The following is a 22,439-nucleotide window of genomic DNA, read 5'->3' as shown; positions in this document are numbered from 1 at the left end:
CTTTGCACTCTCCAGAGCACTAGAATGATATAGCTGAAACCTTAAAATCATATGTTGAGAAAACAAATCTATCTGGTTACAAGATTTTTATTGCCCTATAATGAGTTCGGACAAAGCTTATTTGATGAAACACAAAATATTATAAAACATGTCTTAGCAATAAAATCAATAGTTGGATTAGCTTATGAAATTACTATAAGGAGAAGGAGGAAATTTGAATGTGCTTTGGTTGTTAAGATTCTTGGTCAAATAAGGATTAGGAAAGGAGGCTGAGCACACCAGTGAAAAGACTAGAAGAAAATCAGCCAAGCATGTCAGGAGAAGAAAATCAGAACAAATTCCTAGTTGCCAAGCAAACTGAAGAATAACAAGAAGTCAGTATTGAATAGAATCGGTGTGGTCAGTGAACAAGAAACTTAAATAGTGAATTAAAAATGCCTGGGTGTTAAAAATGACTTTTAGAGAATTTGCTACTGATATGGGCATCAAATAAGTTTACAGTATGACTTCTGGCAGTCACTTTAGTAGCATTAAAAATAGATTTCTGTTAAAATGACATGGTAGTAAGTAAAATTTTTCTATAATATAAAGTGAGTAAATAAGGTAATCACAAGAAACAAAATGAATAGCTGTTGCTCAATATGTCAGCAGGCAATTTTCCCCTGATGTAATCATTGAAAGTAGTGGGGTTTTGGAAACAAGAAAAATGTCCAAAATAGATTTGATTTCAGAAAAGATTGTGAGGAGAACAAACACTGTGGGACATTTAGGCTTTCTCCACAGAATTAAAATGAAATGGAAAAGAGAAGACATCTATCTAGCAAAAGCAAAAGAAATTGTCCCACTGAAGTAGATAATAGGCAACTAATTTTTCTTAAGTGTCCTTATTGTTGCAAGCAATTTTACTTTCATCCTTTAAATTTATTCTTCACAACTGCTTTTTCTTTTTTTTTTTTTTTTTTTTTTGAGACGGAGTCTCGCTCTGTCGCCCAGGCTGGAGTGCAGTGGCGGGATCTCGGCTCACTGCAAGCTCCGCCTCCCAGGTTCACGCCATTCTCCTGCCTCAGCCTCCCAAGTAGCTGGGACTACAGGCGCCCGCCACTACGCCCGGCTAATTTTTTTGTGTGTGTTTTTAGTAGAGACGGGGTTTCACCGTTTTAGCCAGGATGGTCTCGATCTCCTGACCTCGTGATCCGCCCGCCTCGGCCTCCCAAAGTGCTGGGATTACAGGCGTGAGCCACCGCGCCCGGCCACAACTGCTTTTTCATAGAGATCCTAATTTCCTCATTTTAAACTTAGAAAGCTTAGCTAACCTTCTCAGGTCCAGAGAACTAGGATAAAATGGCATCTAAACCAAGCCTGTCTGGAAATTAGAATATGTACTATATACACTGCCTCCCTGTTATTGTTCATTACAATAGTACATAATTCTCTCATTTTTTCTACTTTATCTTTCAAATTTAGTTGTGGTCCTACTACAGCATAGTTGATCAAGGACATTTAAAATCATCTAATGAATTATAACACAATGTTTTCATATACCAGACTTGAAAGGGAAGGAAGGAAGAAGGGAGAAGGAAGGAAGGAGTACCACTTTTTTCTTATAGACCTAAAACCAGAAATTCTGGAGTTGTAACATAGAACATTCTTTAAACTCAGCTTGTACTCATTTTGGAAAGATCTGCAGTATAATAATTATATTGCTAAAGTACTGAGGTGCTGTGGACAAGTTCAGAGAGTTGTTCAGTACACTAGGACAGAGAGAGAGTATATTTTATCTGAGGATTCACAGTTGTTGCCATTCTTTTTGGAATAAAGCAAGAAGTCTCAGTATTGCAGATCTGTGGGCTGTGTGATTTGGATGCTCTTCACAAACCAGTGCAGGTCACTACATATTTGCTTTGGTGGGGACACTTAACAAGTGATGCTTATGGATGGACATCGGTAAAACCCATTGATATCTTAAGCAATCTAGTCTACAGAAATATTAGAGGAATATGACTAAGCAGCCATACATTTTTTAGATAAACCATCCCTCTAAACATGTAATTTGATACTGTTGTTATAAGCTACTCAAGAGCAATTCATACCTCTTTTATGGGCTTCTCTGCTCCAAGACTTATTTAGCATTAAGTCTAAGGGAGCTTTTTCTCAGGTTTCTAGGAATCAAATGATAGTTACGACTAGAGGTTGGTTGTCACTATGTTTAGGGCCATATCTGCTACAATCTAAGAGATAATTTACTTACGTGAAATTTATATTCCAGAAAACACTTGGGTTAGGGAAAGTGAAGCAGCTTTCTTTGTGAAACTTACACCTGTATGTTACTGTAGCTGCTGTTTTTCCAACATTTTAAAATTTGAACAGAAGAGTAGAAGATGCAAGATAGGCAATATATTTCCTGTGGCAGGAGAAATACATTAGAGAAGAAAGTTTCTCTGAGGGTAGTGGGCTGACTATGAAGGTATATTATGTTCTGTTACCAGAAGAGCAGAATCTAGTGTATAAAGGTGTCAGCTAGAGGATCTAGGATATTGCTGGTAGAATGAAGCATAATTATCCAGCACAATGCACAGTGTTTCTAGGGCCTGACCACTGGTGGTAGAGGAGAAGACTCTCAGACATTGGAGGTGTCTATTTGCCAAACTGATTTAATGTTGCGCTTCAAGAGACTTTTAAGTGCGGGCAATTGGTGCTAGAGTCTAAGTTCTGTTAGCTGGTTACTTTGTTTGGCAGGGATTTGAACTTGAACATGTTGTTATCATCCTTTTCTTTTAAAAACTTATATCTACCTTGTGAAAATGTGGGTTTTAGTATGAACAGAAAGTGATGTCTGTCCTTTGCCTTAAGAAGTGCTATAATTCTAATAAGACTCCTTTTAGATGGTGTTTTTAAAGAGGTATAAAATACAGTAAAGAGATGATAACGTCCTAATTGTAAAGCAGCAGAAGACTTCACATACAACAAAAAGACATTAAACTGTGTAAACATAAAAAACTTCTGGATAATTATAAAGAAGAACACTAGAATAAAAAATGAATAGATTGGGAAAAACACAAGCATTAAATATGTTGGGCAATCAATTACATAGCAATCAATAGCCTGAATTTTGGAGTCAGATGTAATTCACAACTCCCCTATTTACTAGCTGTGTGTTCTTGGGCAAGCCACTTAGCCTTTCCAAGTCAAGTTTAATTTTCTGTTATGAAAATGTTTTTAGTTAATATAAGGATTAAATGAGATAATATATGTAACAAAGTATGTGATATGTAGTAAGCACTGAATTTTAGCTATGATTATTATAAATTATTCAGTATGATTCAAATTATAAGGGCCTCGAGATTCCAAAAACAAAAGAGACAAAGTATGTGAATGGTGTTTTTAATTGGGAATCTGCACCTGCCCTCACCAACACATGTAAAAAAAATCCATGTCAAATTCTTTGTTCTCCAAGAAGTCATTCTTGGATTCCTACCTGATCCAACCAGATCCTCCCTTGATCTCTTGCAACCCCCTGTAAGCAGTGTTACTTCTCTACTTTAGCAATTTCTCATAATGAATCCATTTACTAAAGCTTTGTGTTTTTTTACTTATGTCTTCAACTAAACTGTAAGCTTTTTGAAGGCTTTTAACTTTATAATCATTTTTAACCCCCAAATATTCCAAAACTAAATACATATTGAAGAAAAATGTACTAAATTGAATTTAAATGTAGATGCACTTAAATGGTGACTTTTCACTCCTATTTTCTGAAGTATTTGCATTTTATATTATACTGAAATTTTTGAACAGAGCATGGATTATGTTCTATTGTACATCTATTTTGAAATCACAGTGAGGAAAGCTATGTGAATTTTAGAGCAGCTGGTTTGTTTCTAGGTAGCACATTCATTCTGCAAACAGCTCAATATGAATACCAAATTTAAACCTCATCTTAAGTCCATGTTATTATGACTGATGACACTGTTGGATATGGAATCTTAAAATGATTTTAGATACATTAGCATACCCAGGTTGACTTAGGGGTTAATCAGTGAAAGCCAAGTATTATTGTTATACATAACATCTGCGTTTAGATGCATCCAACTGTGTATATTATTACTTTTTTTTCCCATGGACGAACTTTACTATATTGTGCCTCATCACTAGTATGAAATCAGGTTTACATTGTATGTACAGATGCAGAACAAAGAAATTATGACACACAGGGAAAAATATTTTCTAACTATCACTATACAATTATAGATTCTATATATAATGTTCCATAGTGATTGACATCCAAATTACTTTTTAGTATTGTTGAGTGATGGTGTCTTCCTTCGATATATTTTTCTTTTTTCATTTCATTTAAATTTCAAATTCATAGACACAACGAATAATTAAATTCTGATTAAAATAACCATGTGCTGATATTTTTGATGAAGAGGAGCTAGAAAATGATGCATTTGATTTCACTTCCAGCTGTTAATTGGATTGTCATATCATATAAACAATGAAATTTTTACTGAGGATATGAAGATAGCATTGAGTCTTATAGATTGGATATTCCAAACATCAGACCTGAATGTCTGCCTTTCAATATATGAGACATAAACCTTGAAATTTATTCACTATTACATCCTGACATGCTCTTCTTAAACATTGGAACATAATATTGATTTAAATTTTACCTTAGAATTTCCTTCCTTATTCTATTTAATTTTACTTACTATATATTGGAAGTATTGGAGGAAGTACTAGAAATGGAGAGGCGAACTAGTGATTTGATGGTGGAGTCCTCAAGGAAGTGTGAGTCAGAGAAAGGATGAGAAATTGACATTTGACCAAAACTGGAAATGGAGCACTAATAATTATCTATTTATTGAGATGACTTTACAGAATATTTGCTTGTTGCTTCATTTATATTCTGTTTTTGTGAAGGATTATCAAATCTTCTTTGAGACTACAGTCGTTTAAAAAGGGTTTTCTTAAGCTCACAGTTTACATTAGTTCATAAATTGTAGCTATAACCAACTTTATTTTAAGTAGTGTGAAAAGATTTAAAGTGATAGTGTAAAGGAATTAATATTTTCTGTTTTCAAAAGATGTCCTAATATCTTAATTAATATTTGAAATATCCAAAATCAAATAAAACTGCACCATAGTAAAATCAATGTGAAAAACAGCTCGGATTTTTAAGAGCTCTGTGTTTGGCATGTAGTCTACAATTGAGCAAACTGGGATTGTCTTGAATGATGGCAAAGGAAGTAGTTCCTATCTTGCCCCATCTATTCATTTAATCATTTATTTAAGAAACCTTCTTTGAATGTTTAAATGAGATACAAAGAAAAATACAAAAATCTGGTCTAAAAATTCACAGTCCCAGAGTGGAGCTTAAGAATGGAGAACTAAAGAGAAATGGACATAAAATTACAATAAAAGAGAATAATAGAACCTTGTATGTGGTGTTAGGGAAAATAGATAGCAGCCCCTAACTCTGTAGGAGGGGGAGACTAAGGTATCTTCGCACAATACGTGACATTTTATTGTAATGTTTAAAAATGGTAAGTGTTTTCCAGGAGAATCTGTGGGGAAGGACACTTCAGTCACAGGGAACATATATATATATGTAAAGGCATGGATGCATTTAAAGCCTTCAGAACTGTATTTGCCTTTGAATTGCCTAGGAGCCCACTTTCTCATTTCAGTACCCATGAGAGTAAATGACAACAGAGGAAACCAGGTCCCAGACTGTGTAATTATTTAGCGTTTATTGAACATTATCATGCTAGATGCTAAACTGAATCTTGTTAGGTCCTTTCTCTACCCGGTGAGTATGGTCCAATTAAAAAGACAACCAAGGCAGGGATTAAAACAGCATCAAATCAATCAGCAGCTCTGTTTTAAGGGCCTACGGCTGTCCATATAGAGATTTATAGATTAACTGCGGCACTTCGAATTGCACTGGGGATGAAATTGGCAGCAGGTGCAAACCTCATTCAAAGTGTAGATTTATTTTGCTTCAGGCAGCAGAACCCAAAGGTAGGTGGGCTGCCCATTCTAGCCCTTCTGAAATTTTATGGTGGTCCAAGGGTAGCCTCAATTAGGAGACCCATGTGTAATCCAGCTCTTTTCTAAGCTACCAGTAGTAATCATGAATTTATAAAAACTATGAAATGTTCTGTGATACTAGATAATATGGGTGGAATTTTGTACAATTTTGGGTTATTCAGCCAGGAATTTGGAAAATAATATATCCATTTGTGCAGTTCTAGAACCTTGGTGATTGAAATCTTTCTTTCCTCTAAAGGATTATTGGGAATAATCTCTAAGAATGTAGTTTCAGGGTTATAATTAAAGCTATCATAACTTTGTGCTCATATAGAATGAGACATAAAATGCCATAGCAAAATGACAATTTTTATTTTTTTAAATGAAGGGCATTTTATTTTAGTAGTTGAAGTAAGTGATTTTAGTCTAACCTTAACTGTATATGCCAAAGACAATTTACGGATATATTACAAGTTACAGATCTATTATGCCAAAGACAAGTTACAGATATATTACCATTATAATGTCTGGAATACAGAGTTCTAAAGTTAAATCAAATATTTCATTGCTTTCATGATTTATATTACGTGAAATTAATGGCTCAATCAATGTAATTTATTAAAATGTATATTTTGTTTTAGGCCTGAATAATATTCATGTAAGAGACTGAGTACTAAGTAGTGCCACTGTAGGGATTTTAGATGGCTGAACTAATTTGTGTGCATTTTCTCACATATTGCATTTCCTCCTCATCTGTATTTTGATGTTAGATTTGTTTGCTTTCTCATGTTCACTGTATTTATTCCTTACATTTACATCTTTGCTGAATGCTGAGCTAGAATTCTGAAGTTACTTGATATTCCTGTGAACTTGGGCAGGCTACTTAAACACTCTGAGCCACCGTTGAGTCACCTTGAAAATGGTTACAATGATATTGGTTCTGCCTCTCCCACAGGGGTGCTGTAAGGATCAAGTAATTCAATGCTTTCCAGAGTTTCAAGTTATAAGCAGTTAGAGCAGATACTATATTGATTACATATTCTAAAGTTTGTATTTGCACATATTACAAAAGCAAGTTTGTCTTTTAATAGATTTGTGCTGCTTTCTTTGCAGAGTGAGGGAACTTACTAAAGAGATCAAAGATTCCCCAGACAGTTAGCATAAGTATCTTTAGGCTTGGAAGTGTGGCTGCAGGTGTTAACGGCAGGCACCTAACTCCTAGAACTTCAGCTTTATTATCCTACAGGTCATGACTTACAAAGCAATACAATTTCACATCGTTCACATGCTACAGAGATGAGTTAGGTGACAGATTTATTTCATGAGAGTAACTCCCCAAATATTAACTGTATACAGCTGACTTTGTAGTCTACTTCTAGAATTAATCCTCATCTTTGCCTCCCCTCTCTATTTCTTGCAACCGTTGGTAGGCCTTTTGTCCAAATTATTTTGCATTCAATGTTTGTGAATGTGTGAACTTGTATGTACATCAAGAAGAGTATATAATACTTCAAAATCTGAGCTCTTCTATAATTTATAATTTGTTATGTCTGTGGTTGAAAGAATTTACCATGCAATAACCAAGACTGAAGGTGTAGTTTAAAATATAGCTTTGGAAATATAACTTTGAGTAACAAAATTGTATTCCTCATTTCAGAACATGATGAGTGTATCACAAATCAGCACAACTGTGATGAAAATGCTTTATGCTTCAACACTGTTGGAGGACACAACTGTGTTTGCAAGCCGGGCTATACAGGGAATGGAACGACATGCAAAGGTAAAAGGTTTAAATGCCAGTGCCTCTTCCATTATGTATAATGCCATCCATCTCTACCTTCCTCTACACCTTATCATTACTGTTATGTACATTCCAGGTACTTCCTACAGACATCAAAAGCTTTGGTGTGTGGCTCATAGTCTTTCCCTCAGGTCTTGACATCCTCCTGGGTTACTTCAGTGTTTAAGTGACCAAACCATTCAGCTCCTTTGACCTAATGTTCCTTGACCTTAGCCACAGTGGTTTTCATCTCTGTTCCTTTCTATCAAACCCACACCCATCACCACATCCTGGGCATTTTTGTGGAGAACTGCTCCATCTTGGAAGTCTTAAACTTCAACATTCTATTGTCTAATCCCAAGTTCCTCTTCTTCCAGTTTGCTCAGTCTGTTCTTTCTACACCTTTTGATCTTTAATTTCGTTGAACCTTCCTTTTCATCCAGTTTAGCACTCTCCCAGCTTCAGATGTTTCTTTTCGAGCCCAAACATGCGTACATCATCATAGCTGTTTTCTGGCAGCGTTGTCAACCTATTTGTTATGCTACCATGTGAATCAACTCCATTTTGAGTCAGTAGGACAGTTTTTTTTTTTGTTTTTTTTTTTTTGCTCTCTTGTGAGCTGTCGGAGGCTACTGTGGAAGATTAATTAACCATGAATATTGATTCTCTACATGTTATAGTTTCCTATTTTAGCTTCTTTGTTAATGCCGATTGATCATTCTTTTAAATGTCCCATTGAAATCAGATTTCTTTTTCCATCAGTAGACAATACAACTGTAGTTCACCACAATCCATTAACTCGCCTTTTCCCCCACTGTACTCTTTCCCTCCTACCTCCTAAGGGAAATAGAAGACCTTTTTGGAAACTGTGAACTCCCATAGTATAACATTTACATCCCTTATAATGTCATATGATTTATCCAATTTAGGCATTTTAAGCTTCAAAACTGCTGATTTCTCAAATATACCGTGTCCTTTATCTCAGAGTTCACTAAAATCAGTTTGCTATGATACCGTGTCTGTGTGAGGTAGGAAAGAACAAGGAATAGTTGTTAACGCAGTGTCTTATAAGGATGGTTCTTAAGGCCTGGTCTACAAAAATACACTGTAGCCAGAGATGGGTAGGCCAGAAGATTACCCTGATTTTCAAAACTCCATGGAAATCATCAGTGTAGGTCATTTTGAAAAAGGCCTAATTATTTGGGGATTCAAATCCCACAAAAATTTGCTTGGAAAAACTAAACAAATCCTGAGAAAAGCTAGACTTTTAGAATGTAAAGTATAGTACAGCAGTTCCCTCTTACCCACAGTTTTGCTTTTGATGGTTTTAGTTACCCACAGTCAAATGCAGTCTGAAAATGTTAAATGGAAAATTCTAGAAATAAACAATTCTTAAGTTTAAAACTGTGCACCATTCTGAGTAGCATGATGAGATCTCTCACTGTCCAACCTCATGCTGCCTGGGATGTGAATCATCCCTTTGTCCAGTGTGTCCACACTGTCTACAACTAGCCACCATTAGTCACTTAGTAGCCTTCCCGATTATCAAATACACTGTTGAGGTATCACAATGCTTGTATTCACGTAAACCTTATTTTCACTGGGCTTGGTGGCTCACACCTGTAATCCTAGCACTTTGGGGGGCCAAGGCAGATGGATTGCTTGAGTGTAGAGTTTGAGACCAGATTGGGCAACATCTCCACCAAAAAACAAACAAAAACAAAACAAAACAAAAAACAAACACCATGTACAAAACCTAACTCAAAATGGGTAAAACAAAAACAAGTAATTTTTATTTTACTGTTAATGGCCCCAAAATGCAACATAATTGACCTATTTTATTATAAATTACTGTTGTTAATCTCTTACTATGCATAACTTATACTTTAAACTTTATCATAGTATGTCTGTATAGGAAAAATATATATATACATATATATATGTATATATATATGCAAAAATAGATTTCTGTGCTGTCTGAGGTTTCAGGGATCCACTGGGGATCTTGAAATGCATTTCCAATGCATGAGCGGAGACTACAATATAACTAAGTCCTTAGGACTTCCCCCAAATCACCTGAAGGTTCTGAGAGTTTGCTTAGGCTTAAGGTTTCATCTAGGAGCCCAAAAGCTTTTCTCTTATTTCTGCTTGATACAAATTCCTATGTAGTATGAAGAATAAAGTTCATAGAATAAAGAGCTCTGAAAATTATGAACAGATGCAGACAGATAATTCTTGTATTTGAAAGAAGGAGAACTTTCAAGGATCTATAAATTCCTTCTGGAAGTTAGGACTACAGGTTGCCCGAATAAAGACTGTTCGGTTCCTGTATATCTTTGTTTGGAATGGGAAAAATCTGAGAGATAAGTAGATTAAATGTAGGAGCTGAATCATTGAGTTCTGTGCGGTATCAACAGGCTGCAACCTTGCAAATTACTCCAGTGAAAATATGTACATGGTCTGACACGCACATTCTTTATCACTTATGAGGTTTAAACCAAAGAAGCCAAATGGACTCTTTGAGTCCATTTCTTTAACTCATCACTAGAATTTCAGATTTCTACATTTTATTACTCTGAAAAAGTGTATTCTACCTAACTAGAGGAAGCACATGCCAGAAAACTATAGAGAAAACTTTTGTCTTAATGCCGGGAACAAGCTGGTCTAATTCACTCATTATAGACTTTGTCAGGCTGAGGAAGCAGCTGCTGAGCCTTACAGAGCCAAAGAATAAGCCAAAGTGGAAATAAAAGCTTCTAAAGGGGGCTCAGTCTCATCCATCTTGTTTTTCTCTTCTTCTCTTGTTGTACTCACTTGTCTTGCTCTTCTCTCCTTCTTTTATGCACTTCTTCGAAGACAGCACATTTCAAGAGATCGCCCTTGCAATGGTACAGACCTTGGCTCCCTTGCAATGGTTCAGCTTCCTACTCACAGAACAACTTGCCTCATTCCCAAAACCACTCTGATAAAACAGGTTATATAGTGTCTTGGCCCTTGATCCTGGATTCTGACCTATCCTTAGCAGAGGAATTTAAGAGTCTCCCTGAAGACCACTCTAATGAATTTTTCTTACTATTGGTTAATTCATTACCAGGACCCGCTTACAAATTTTTGAAGGATGGAACATTTCCTACTATTTTGGCACTTTGGCTAGTGTGCAAAATGGTCAGAGCCTCATGGGATTCAACCATTTCCTGTTTCATGGTCTCGTTCTTTAGATGGTGGTTTGCTCCATCTAGGATAGCTGCCATTTTCAGGTTTATTTTCAAGGTGGATTGTTACAATGAGAAGAAATCTGAATTTTAATGTACTTCCTATTGTGTAAATTTGCTGTTTGTTGTTCAAATAAATTTCAGTATTTTGTTTTAAGGGTGAAATACTTCTTTAACATTGGAAAGAGTACTGTTTTACAAGTTGTGTTGAAGTTTCTTAAATGTATGGGAAATATTACATGAAAACAAAATTAAAATAGCTTTTATAATTTGATGTTTACATCTCCAAGGGGATAATGAAAAGCTAGGTTTGGAGTTTATTAAACTACTTACTTCTAAAGTGCTAAAATCATGTATCTGAATTATTTTAGCATTTTGCAAAGATGGCTGTAGGAATGGAGGAGCCTGTATTGCCGCTAATGTGTGTGCCTGCCCACAAGGCTTCACTGGACCCAGCTGTGAAACGGGTAAGAATATCATTTCATCTTCTAGAAAATGAATTTTTATGCCAATGCATAAAGTAATCCATGAGGAAAATAATGTTTCAAGTTTCAAGTGGGCTCTCAAAGCATGGAGCTATTAATAAGGAAGTGATAGGAGGGAGGAGGTGGGAAGTTTCAGTGATGCATTTCGCTGGGCGATTCCCCAAAGTCACTCTAAAAAGGTTTTGCAGCTATTATAACTAGACGCATATTGAACTTTTCAGAAACATGTGTGGAATTACCCAGGATTTTATGACTTCATAATTCATTTTACTCATTTGGAATCCATTTTTACTGGAATCTATATGACTATATTAAAGCCTAGATTTCAAGCTTATGGCCAACTCAGTGCCGAGAACACACTATCACCTGCATCCACAATTAGGAATTTTTAATAAATTTTTATCTGGCCCTTTAATTATTCATTAATAATTATTTATCTGGAAAATAATTAAAGTTTTCTACTCCTCAATTATTTCTCATTCAGATCCATTCTGAACTTACTCTTTCTGATGGACGTGAATATTAAAAACTTTAAAAATTATTTTAAAAACAATATATAGTCTACATATAACTTATAACCCTAAAGTAAAATACGTTGTCCAATGAAAAACACATCTTGGGAATTTAAAAAAATGTTTTGAGTATTAAGTCCTAATTAAAATCATACTAGTAGTGGTTTTGGTTGCATTGGGTTCAGTAGGTTCCAATAGTGATGACCTCAGAAAATCAGGTTATTCTTCCTAAAAGAAAGCTTCTGCCACTGGCAATTGACAGTTGTCATCTCATACTGCTTTTCATAAATCTCAATGCAATAGATACAGTACATGCTCTGCCTCTATTCCACTTGCAGAGTCATCTAGTTTAATAAAAACACTGATTTACCAGAATGTGAGACAGAAAATGTTCTGCTCCATTTGGGAAGTGAACATTTTACTGAATAGAATCTGCTACTGTGCACAGAAGGATGCTCACAAAAGGGCTTACATCACTAGATCATCTCTTTCTATAAGTACTGCTAAGTGGTGTTTTTCAAACTTCAGTGACTGATTTCAAAAGTCTGTGACGGACAATGCATAGTGTCTATCTTTGGTATGTAGGATTCTTTCTTAAGGGGATCATTTCCTAAATCAGAAGCTCCCTAAATTTATTGTGCATGAGAGTCACCTATAGAGATTGATAACTTGTTAGAAATACAGGTTTTTAGTAACTATCATATGATATACTAAATCAAATCAGGCACCTCTACTGCAGTAGTCCTCTCATGTTTCTATGGCATGCTCTCCACCAGTTTGCCCCTACACATCAAGGTGCACTGTGGACCTCCTGCACATCAACACCTCTGATCACAAGGCTTCCTGAATACAATATTTGTGTGCCGCTTCTGGTACAGAGGCTGGATACAGAAATACTGGCTTTTTCAGGACATTTCAATGGTGTGAAGATAATGGTGTGGAATTTTGAAATAAAAGCTGTCCCAGAAAATCTGGGATGAACAGTGGCCGTGCACAATCCTGCACAGGATTCTTCCACTAGGAGAAAATATCACAAGATTGTAGAAATCTGGAATGGCATAAAATTAATACTGGCAATGTAATATTTAAGACTGGAGTTAAAAATAACCCAAGAGAACATGTAGCTATCTCTATTTCATTATACTTGAACCTTCAGTCTGTAAGAAGACAATCCCAGACTGATTCTAAATAGCTGTCTGTGGCAGCCAAGGGCTTTGAGAACAGATGTGGACTCAAAATTTAGTTGTACTGTTTATATGTTATGTTGCCTTGGGCAAGTTACTTAACTTCCCTCTGTGTTGTACCCTTTATACATCACCTTACTCTTCGCCATTCTCTTCTAAGGCAGTTATTATCTGTATTTGCATACAGAAATACTGGGTTCAGGGTGTTTAATGTTTTCCTTTTTCCTAGCATCAGAGTTAGAAGCTGATACAAAGGTCATTCTGCTCCCAAATCCAGGCTTTTATCCAGTGCATCCCAGTATGTTTCTTTGGGGGGCCTTAAATCCAAAGACCTCAATCTGAATTCATTATCTCCTCCATGATTCATGCCTCACCAGTTACCATCCTCTACCAAAACCTGAATATTCTTTTCTTCCTTCCTTACTAGTTTATTTCAGCGAATAGCCACCTTATCCACCAAGTCTTCTAAGCCAGTCATCAGGGAGCAATTTCCCTCTTGTCCTCTTTCACATCCAGTCAAATCCTTTTGATTCCTTGTCTTTACCAGGGTCCATTTTTTCTATTCTGGTCAGTGCTACAGTTGTTGGGGACTTTCAGGTTTGTCTCTGGCTAGTCCAGTATCCACAGAATAACAGAGCACAAATCTGATCATATCACTCCAGACTGAAGAAAAACTTTCATGTTCCCCATTGCCCTCAGGATAAAGGCCACATTTTTAACATGATAAATAAGGCCCTTCAGGATTTGGCCCTGCATATCTACCCAGCTTTACCCTCTTGTCCTTCTGCCATCTCACTTCATTCCCACCCCCAGGCAGTGAATCTCATGAGGGTACAGGATGTATCTTATTTGCTTTTGTATCATCACGAAACAGTACAAGGCCTGCCTCTTAGTAGTTGTTCCATAAATATTTGGTGAATAAATAAATGCACACATGAGTGATCAATTAAATGATGAAGAAAAAGATGGTGTGGCTGTGTCCATATTTGTTGGACTTTTCTGAATATTAGTTGAAGCTTTCAGAGTTATCTAGTTCTGTACTATCATATGGCAGATATGGCACAGAAACGTGAAGTAGCTTATATAGGTGTTTCATTGTTGATCCAGATCTACATTCTAGAACTTGGGTCTTCTGATTTCTAGCCCAGTGTTTCTCTTTTCCTTCCTTCCCCTTTCTCTCACTCCTTCCTCTTTCCTTGCTTCCCTCCCTTTCTTCCTCTCTCTCTCTTTCCTGTCCTGCCTTCCTCCCTCCTTCTCTTTCTTCTTTTCTTCCTGCTTTCCTTTATTTCTTATGCCATGCTTCGTCCCAGGAATTCATCACACCATCATCCTTCATCAGGTCTCTGCCTTTTGTTATGCCCCCTTCAACCTGTTGTCTTTAACAGTGAAGACTGTGGCAGTTTTTCTCTGCAAAGTTAAAGGATGCTTCCAGATTGACAAAATTTCCAAGTATAGGAATGGCCTAAATTTGGCCTGCTGGAGTTGGATGCTGCCTGATAGCTTAGAAAGGAAATTATTGTGCAGCCCCAGTGGCCATCTGCTGAGCCATCACAGTGGAATCACTGAGGATGAAATAATAGGATTTACTTGCTTTTTGAAATCTTAATGTGTCTTGCACTTACCACCCCTTGTTCCTTTAGTTGAAGTCTCTTCTGAAACACCCTCCCCTCATTTCTGTTTCTGCATCATGTGTATCTTAGTAGGAATGGTTGCATTCATTTACCACTTCACAAAAGGGCGATGTGTATGATTTTTACTGAGCGAAATTAATTTTTTATGGACTTCTTTTTTAGCCACTGTATAAAATCACCCGCATGTACAGCATAACTTCATTTTTAATTAAATATCCTAAGATTCCATCAGGTGTTTAACTTGGATTTAGCAGGGTGATTATTTCTTGGGTAATTCAATAAAATGTATTAGAAAGCTGAAGCTATGTGCCAAGGTTTACAGCTTTATCACTGCCATATTGTATTTATTACACAATTGCTAAACCTCAGCAAATATGTGTCTGATGATCTAATTAATATACAAAGCTATCTTATTATACTAAAAGCAAATCTTTCAGTAATGATTTAAAGCATAACTCTAAAAGATTTGACAGTCCCCTACAAGCACTTGCTGACTTAAATCAAATTAAAATATTTATAACTGGGAAAAAGTTGGTAACAAATGGCAAAGCTGAAAAAAAATTGCTGCAGTATCAAAGAAGAGATCAGACATTTTGATGATAAATGCTTTTTTTTTCTGTGCAAATAATGGATTTCTTAGCCACATATCAAAGCATAAGATGAGATTTTAATTATTTTTGTGAGTTGTTAAATGAATATAAATTTAAGTTGCACCCCTAAGTGTTTTTGTAGCTTTTTAATATGTGTTGTTTCAAAATGACAAAAATGAAGCATGAGGCCTACATGAGTGTTGCTTTACTTCAAAAGTAACTTCAAATGGATTGAGGTTGGTTGATTTTTTTTAAGTTTATTTTATTACTGTTATAGTATGGATAATAGAAATTATTTTTGTTAGAAAAAAGTTATCTTGCTAGTTATATCCAAAGTTAGCATTTATTATTAATGTCAAACTATTACATTTCCTGGCATGGCCAAATTAGCACATTTTTCATCATAAAAGGTATATGTTGATTTCATTAATATTTGTTTTTTTAAGGCATATTTTTTCCAGAAATATGTATAAGTGTATATCATTTTTACATACGAAGTCTAAAAAAATTCAGAAGCAAGGGAAAATTCTCAGAACAGTTGGGACATGGCATACCTTTTCTTACCAATATGACTCACAGTGGAAATACATTACCAAAATATATATCTTTATGTGAGAAAAGAGGAGAAATTGAGAAGAAAATCTGAGACAATTTGATAAAAAGAAATTAAAAAGAAAAACTGTAGATACATCTGCTTTTCCAATAAGAATTTTTTAGTTTTATTTTGAATTTATTCTGCTTTATCTGAACAAATGCAAATTTCATGTACACAAATCATTAAATATACTTTACTGTAATAAAGACAATTTGGAATTAAGGAAGCTTTGCTTCTAGTTCTTTACTATCCTATTAAATTCAGTTTTCTGAATCTTAATTTTACAAGGGAAGATCTGCAAAGTAGCTCTTGGGTAGATTTTGCAGAGTGGGCACATACTCATGGAGGGTTCTGTTGATCTGCCTAAGGGATCTACACTCATGCTCACTCACTAGACACATCTGATCTTGAAACTGTCTCCAGTGATAAAAGTGATTCAATTATGTTTGATAAATGAATGTGTTTTAATGAACTTTGTGTGAATTAGGGGTGTAGATACCAATGATTCTTTTTCTGTTATAAAATGAACAAATAAAACAACAAACAAAAAGCACTCTCACCAAAGGCTTTTTGACCGTACCCTGCTTGAATTGGCTTAGATAATTAAGACGTAACTTCTCTTTATGTTGGTGATCCTTAATCTGTTTTAAATAAGATTTTAATTGCTTAATGTTATGCCAAACCCCAGTTCTCCTTGAAGAATTTAACATAGTGGTCAAGAACACAAAAGTTGAAGTCAGAGAAACATTGGCCTGAGAACTAGTTCTATTACCAGCCAGCTATGTGACCCTTTTCATGTTATTTCCTTTTTTTCACTATGCCTTAATTTGTGCATGTAGAAAATAAAGATGATAGTAATATCTATCTCATGGGTTTGTTCTAGAGATTAAATGAAGTAAGGCACATAGCACCATGTTGAAGACTTGGTAAGCACTCAGTAAATGACACCTGATATGATGATTTTGTAAATTTTAAGTTGAACTGTAAATAAACTTTTATAGACAGAACTGTTTGAGACTCTTTGACATCCTTGAGTTAGCTGGAGATGCCCTGAGATGTTATAAGAGAAAGGTTAAGAGCAATAAAGGATTCTAGTTTTCTTGATCCATTCATAAACCAGTTTTAAGTATAATTTTACTGTACTATAGTGGTTTAAAATGTTTAATTTAGTGATTTGCATTCTGTACATTTGCTTAAAATTGCTTTATTTTTGTCCTAATGCAAACTTTAAAAATTAATCTTTTATGAAAATATAAATCTTTATATTATTCAAAAAGTAGTCAAAAGTTCTTAGTGTTAAATCTCAAAGTCATTCTTCCAAGTCCTTCAGGTTAATTGGAAAAAATCTAACTCACTCTATATATCAGTCGTGTATAATAGATAACAACTATGATGGGGAAATTTTTCAGACTCTTTTGTTGTAAGGCCTACCTAATTAACACTGGAAATGAGGACACATCATGGAGAAAATGTAAGAGGAAAAAAATAGCTTTCAAGCTGTTAGAGAGCAGGTCTCCAAGAAAAAGAAAAAAGCCAAGTGGAATTAGTTGGGAATTTGGATAAGATCTTCAGTTTTATTTTAAAAATATTATTTTTTTCAATAGATCATTTTTGTATATTAACTTGTATTGTGCCTTTGAATTCGCAGGATCCCTATTCCCTCTTATTTTTTTATTTGAAACTAGCCAAATGGAGTCACTTTTAAGATAATTGTTTAAATTTGTTTTAAAATTAATTGAATATTAATATTTTGAATAAACATTATGTACATATTGTATAAAATTTAAAAGTACAAAGAGCATATAATGAAAAGTAAATTTCCTTTATAGCCATTTCCCAACCATTGCTTTTTCCCTTAACAAAATATCCTGGAAATCATACCATAGATAAGTCCTTGTTAGACAGAGTAGTTCAAATAGGAAAGCTGAGGCTTTCTGCCATTCAAATAGTAGACTTTTAATTTGTAAAAGTCTGGGTGTCAATAGGAATACATGTCTTAGGGCCAAGATCTTTCTCTTTTTGGGGGGTGCCCCCATGTGTTGGCTGAGAATGTTCTGCAATTTTCTCATTCATAAATTCTGATTTTTTTATATAGATAAGCTGATGAACGTCTATTGATCAGAAGTATAATCGGGGGAGGCATAAACTTAATATGCTGGAGAAACGTTGTTGAATGCAACATTTTATTTATACTGAAATTGTTTTTGTTTTTTGCATTCTATTCCTCCCTTATTTGTTTCATTTCTTTCTTCTTGAAGGATATATTTTAGTACTCTCTTAGAGCAGTTCTATTAGTGGCCAACTCTTGGGTATAGAATTCTAGGTTTTCCGGCCGGGCGCGGTGGTTCACACCTGTGATCCCAGCACTTTCGGAGGACGAGGCGGGCGGATCACGAGGTCCGGAGATCCAGACCATCCTGACTAACACGGTGAAGCCCCATTTCTACTAAAAATACAATAAATAAATAAATAAATAAATAAATAAATAAATAAATAAATAAATAAATAAATTAGCCGGGCGTGCTGGCGGGCGCCTGCAGTCCCAGCTACTCGGGAGGCTGAGGCAGGAGAATGGCGTGAACTGGGGAGGCGGGGCTTGCAGTGAGCAGATATCGCGCCACTGCACTCCAGCCTGGGCGGCAGAGCGAGACTCCATCTCAAAAAAAAAAAAAAAAAAACGGAATTCTAGGTTTTCCCTACGCACTATGAAGGCAGTATTCCATTGTTTTTGGGGGGCCTCTGAGGTTTCTGTTCAGAAGTCTGCTTTCAATTCAATTGTAATTCATTTTAAAACATAGTCTCTTTCTCTCTAATTACTTTCAAGGTTCCCTTTTCTTTGGAGTATGTGGTTTCAAAGCATTGTGCCTGCGTATGAATTTATTAATATTTTTATTTACCTTGCTAGGGACTCCTTTAGACGACTGAATCTGAAGAGTTAACCGCTTTCATCGTTTTGGAATCCACTCAATATTTATCCCTTCGGATATTGCTTCTTTCCCCTTCTCTTTATTCTCTCCTTCTGGAAATATGTTGGCCCTTGTCTTTTCTATAATTCTTCACTTTCTTTTATACTTTTCATCTCTTTATCTCTCAGTGTTGTGCCTTTGATAATTTTTCAAACCTATCCACCAGTGTACAGATGAATTCATCAGCTTTGTCTGATCCATTATTTAGTTTATGTTAGTTTTTAAATTTTAATAACTTTTTAATTTCTAGGAGTTCTCTTTCTCATATCTTTTGGTTCTTTTTTCCTTAGTTCTTATTTTTGTCTTGTGGTTTTGATTCCTTCTTTTATGTCTTTCACAATTTTAAACGTACTCATATTATATTATAAAATTTACAGCATTGCTCTATTGCCTGAAGTTCGAGGGGATCTAAATTATCTTTTATTGTGTTTGCTGACTTTTGCCTCATGATTGTTTCCTCATATGTTTTGGACTTTTGGTGTCTGACCTTATTATCTTCATTGAAGCTTTACCTGTGAAGTCTGAGATCTTTTCCCTCCAGGGAAAATTTACATTTGTTTCCGCAGGTGTAGCAGGGGTATTACAATGCATAATTTGCATTAATGTTTTTGCCAAGTGGTATGCCACACAAATTATATAAATTTTTAACTTCAAAATTCTGTAAGAGCTAACATTTCTTTTTCTCCCCACTCAAGCATAGGTAGAAATAATGTCTCCTCCTAATCGCCTGTGCTGGTGGATTTTTTTTATCTGTGAGTGCGTGAGAGAGAGAGAGAGAGAGAGAGAGAGTGTGTGTGTGTGTGTGTGTGTGTGTGTGTATTTCTTTCTTACTCTTAAACTGAGGGGCAGGCCTTCCAAGGATTCTGCCTATGCTGGAGTCTTGAGCCTCCTATAAGACCAGGTTCACTCTGTTGTCAATCACTTGGCCCATAAATCCATATCTGGTGTTTGGCTTCTTATGCCACATAGGAATTTTCATTTTTTCAATGAGGTCAGTTATAAGTTTAATATTATATTTTTAAGCCATGTGTATGTAGAAAGATTTTCAGGTTATGCAGGTCTCAGTATTGCTGGAATAAGAAAGAAAATCACCTGTTTTAAACATAAGTATGATTTCACTGATGCTCAGTGAATGACTCCTAAGAGTGATGAACTTTGGCCATTCAGAAATCTGCAGACTGTGAGGTGAAACTTATGATGAGAGAATGTAAATGAGGAGGAACATAGGAAAAAACAATAATGATATGAAGTTTATGAGGTTTACTAGGAATGGAGCTGGGGGATGAGGCTGTTTTTTTCCGTTCCTAAATTTCTAATGCTCCCAGAGTCTGTACTTCTTCCCAAAGGGTTCTCATCTATGGTCAGTGTCTATTGCTTTCTGTCATGGAAACTTTCTGGAAGAAGCCACTAGGACTTAGGTACAAAAAAAAAACCTTACAGCAGTCAGCCCTATCCATCTAATAGATAACTCTCCCTTAAAAACTTACTGTTTTTTTTTTTTTTTTTTTTGAGAGAATAAATTATATTCCAGGTTAATTTTTTTAGACTTACAGTAAAATGTGGTGCACAAGGATCAAGTTAAATAGCAAATAATGGATTTTGGGCCAAGTTAAAGAAGAACAATCAAATTTGTGAATGACAGTTTTGAGAGGGTAGCTTATATGACAAAAGACAGGATCAAGATTCAGAGCTATTCAAATTGTAGGAACAATGGGATCAAATAACATTATGACACTTGACAAACAAAAGCATCTCCTGCATTTGTCCTGCTTTCAGCCCTCAACATTTCTAGATCCTTAATTCTGATCTCTTCCATCTTTGGCCCACACTCATTGTGTTCTTTGCCCCTTTCCTTTAGTTTTCTTTTCTTTAGGTGTCTGTCTTTCCTCCCTTACCTTTTTCCTCATTCCCTCCCACTGGAGTATGAGTTCCATGGAAAGTAGAGATGGAACCTATGATTTTGTGTTTTTCATAGGGCTTGTCATCATGCTTTGCATATAGTAGGCAGTCCATGAATATTAATAAAGTATAAATACACTCTTGCATTTAGGTTAGAAAAACCAACTGTGCAACATAGAGGGAACTAAGTTTAACAGTTTTTATGCTTTATTTGGCTACTGATTCGAAGTTAAGTATGAGCCAAAAGTATAATGTGCTAGCTTTAAAAGAAAATGCAAACTTAACCTATAATTAAAAGAAACAGGGTCTATGAAACAAAACTCTCCTTAAATTCTACGTTACTTATTTTATAATGGCATACTGTATTTACTTTGGGCCAATAGTTTTAAGAGGCTATCAGCAAATGGAAGCATAATTGAGGAAAAGTTTTCCAGGAGATGAAAGTCCTGGCAGATATAAGAGGGTAGTTGAATAAATCTTCATCAGGAATATTTTTTTAAAAAATAAGAAAAATGAAAGGTGCTGTAAAAAGCTATCCTTAAATACATGAAGAGCTAAACTAGTGTGTGGATTTGGGATTAGATTAATCTTTGTTGCTCCAGAGAGGAAAACTAGTAAATTTACCAGGAGGCAGGTTTGGACTCCAAATAAGAAATTTACTAATCACAAGAACCATAGGAAAAAGGGATAGATCACCCTGCATGTTCAATCAGAGTCTAGATAACGAAATGCTAAGGACACTTAAGATTTCCACACTCTGGGACAAGATGGCATTGACTTATTGGGATTATCTAAAATTCTTCTTGCTATAGTTGTTTGGAACAGTAGCTGCTTCAAACTCCATGTCTAAGGGCATTTAGTGTAATAATAAACAAGCAGTGCAGCATGATGGTTAAGAGTTACAAGTAGGCTTGGAGGATGGCTCTCTGGCTATAAATCTAGGCTCTGCAAATGACTTCTCTATGTGGAATAGGGCAAATTACTTAATATTTATGTGCCTCAATTTCCTTGTTTTAAAATGGAGTGATAATAATACCTATTTTAGGCAGGATGTGATGTGGCTTATGCCTGTAATCACTTTGAGGCAGATGGTGGAGGATCACTTGAGGCCAGGAGTTCAAGACCAGCCTGGGCAACATAGCAAGTCCCTTTCTCCAAAAAATAATAGTAGTTTAAAGAAGAAAAAAAAACCTGTTTCATGACATTGTTGAGAGAATTATATTAGTTAATATGGTAAACCAAGCAATGGCTCAGTAAATGTTAGCTATTATCATGACCTTACTGCAATCCCTACAATAACCCTCTGAAGTGGTTATTATTACTAGATGAGGAAAGTGAGGTTGAAAAAGATTAAGTAATTTGCTCTGGTCTGTACAGCCAGTAAAATGGAATAGAAAAGAATAATTTCTAGGACTGTCATATTAAAATTTTCCACGCTCTTTCTGTTCTGATATTTGGCCTCCCACTGCACCATAGGATGCTAAAATGACTGAAATAGCAGTAAACTTTGTGGAATATGGGTGCCAAATTATCCACATTAAAGATTTCTTAAGTT

The 22,439-nt window shown here is 35.5% G+C and overlaps 1 protein-coding gene across 6 annotated transcripts in view; it reads left to right on the top strand.

The window, feature by feature from the left end:
* NELL2 (neural EGFL like 2) overlaps positions 1-22,439 on the top strand; it is a 413,574-nt gene that overhangs the window by 303,191 nt on the left and 87,944 nt on the right. For all 6 annotated transcript variants that reach the window (XM_011538396.2, NM_006159.2, NM_001145110.2 and 3 more), the window contains 2 exons: positions 7,688-7,810; positions 11,394-11,489. In XM_011538396.2, coding sequence (XP_011536698.1) covers positions 7,688-7,810; positions 11,394-11,489 — 219 coding nt within the window. The remainder of the gene's footprint in view (positions 1-7,687; positions 7,811-11,393; positions 11,490-22,439) is intronic.

The sequence above is a fragment of the Homo sapiens genome, chromosome 12 (genome assembly GCF_000001405.40).
Source record: "Homo sapiens chromosome 12, GRCh38.p14 Primary Assembly".
NCBI lineage: Eukaryota > Metazoa > Chordata > Mammalia > Primates > Hominidae > Homo > Homo sapiens.
Note: the sequence above shows the minus strand (reverse complement) of the source record. Positions and strands in the feature narration are given on the sequence as shown.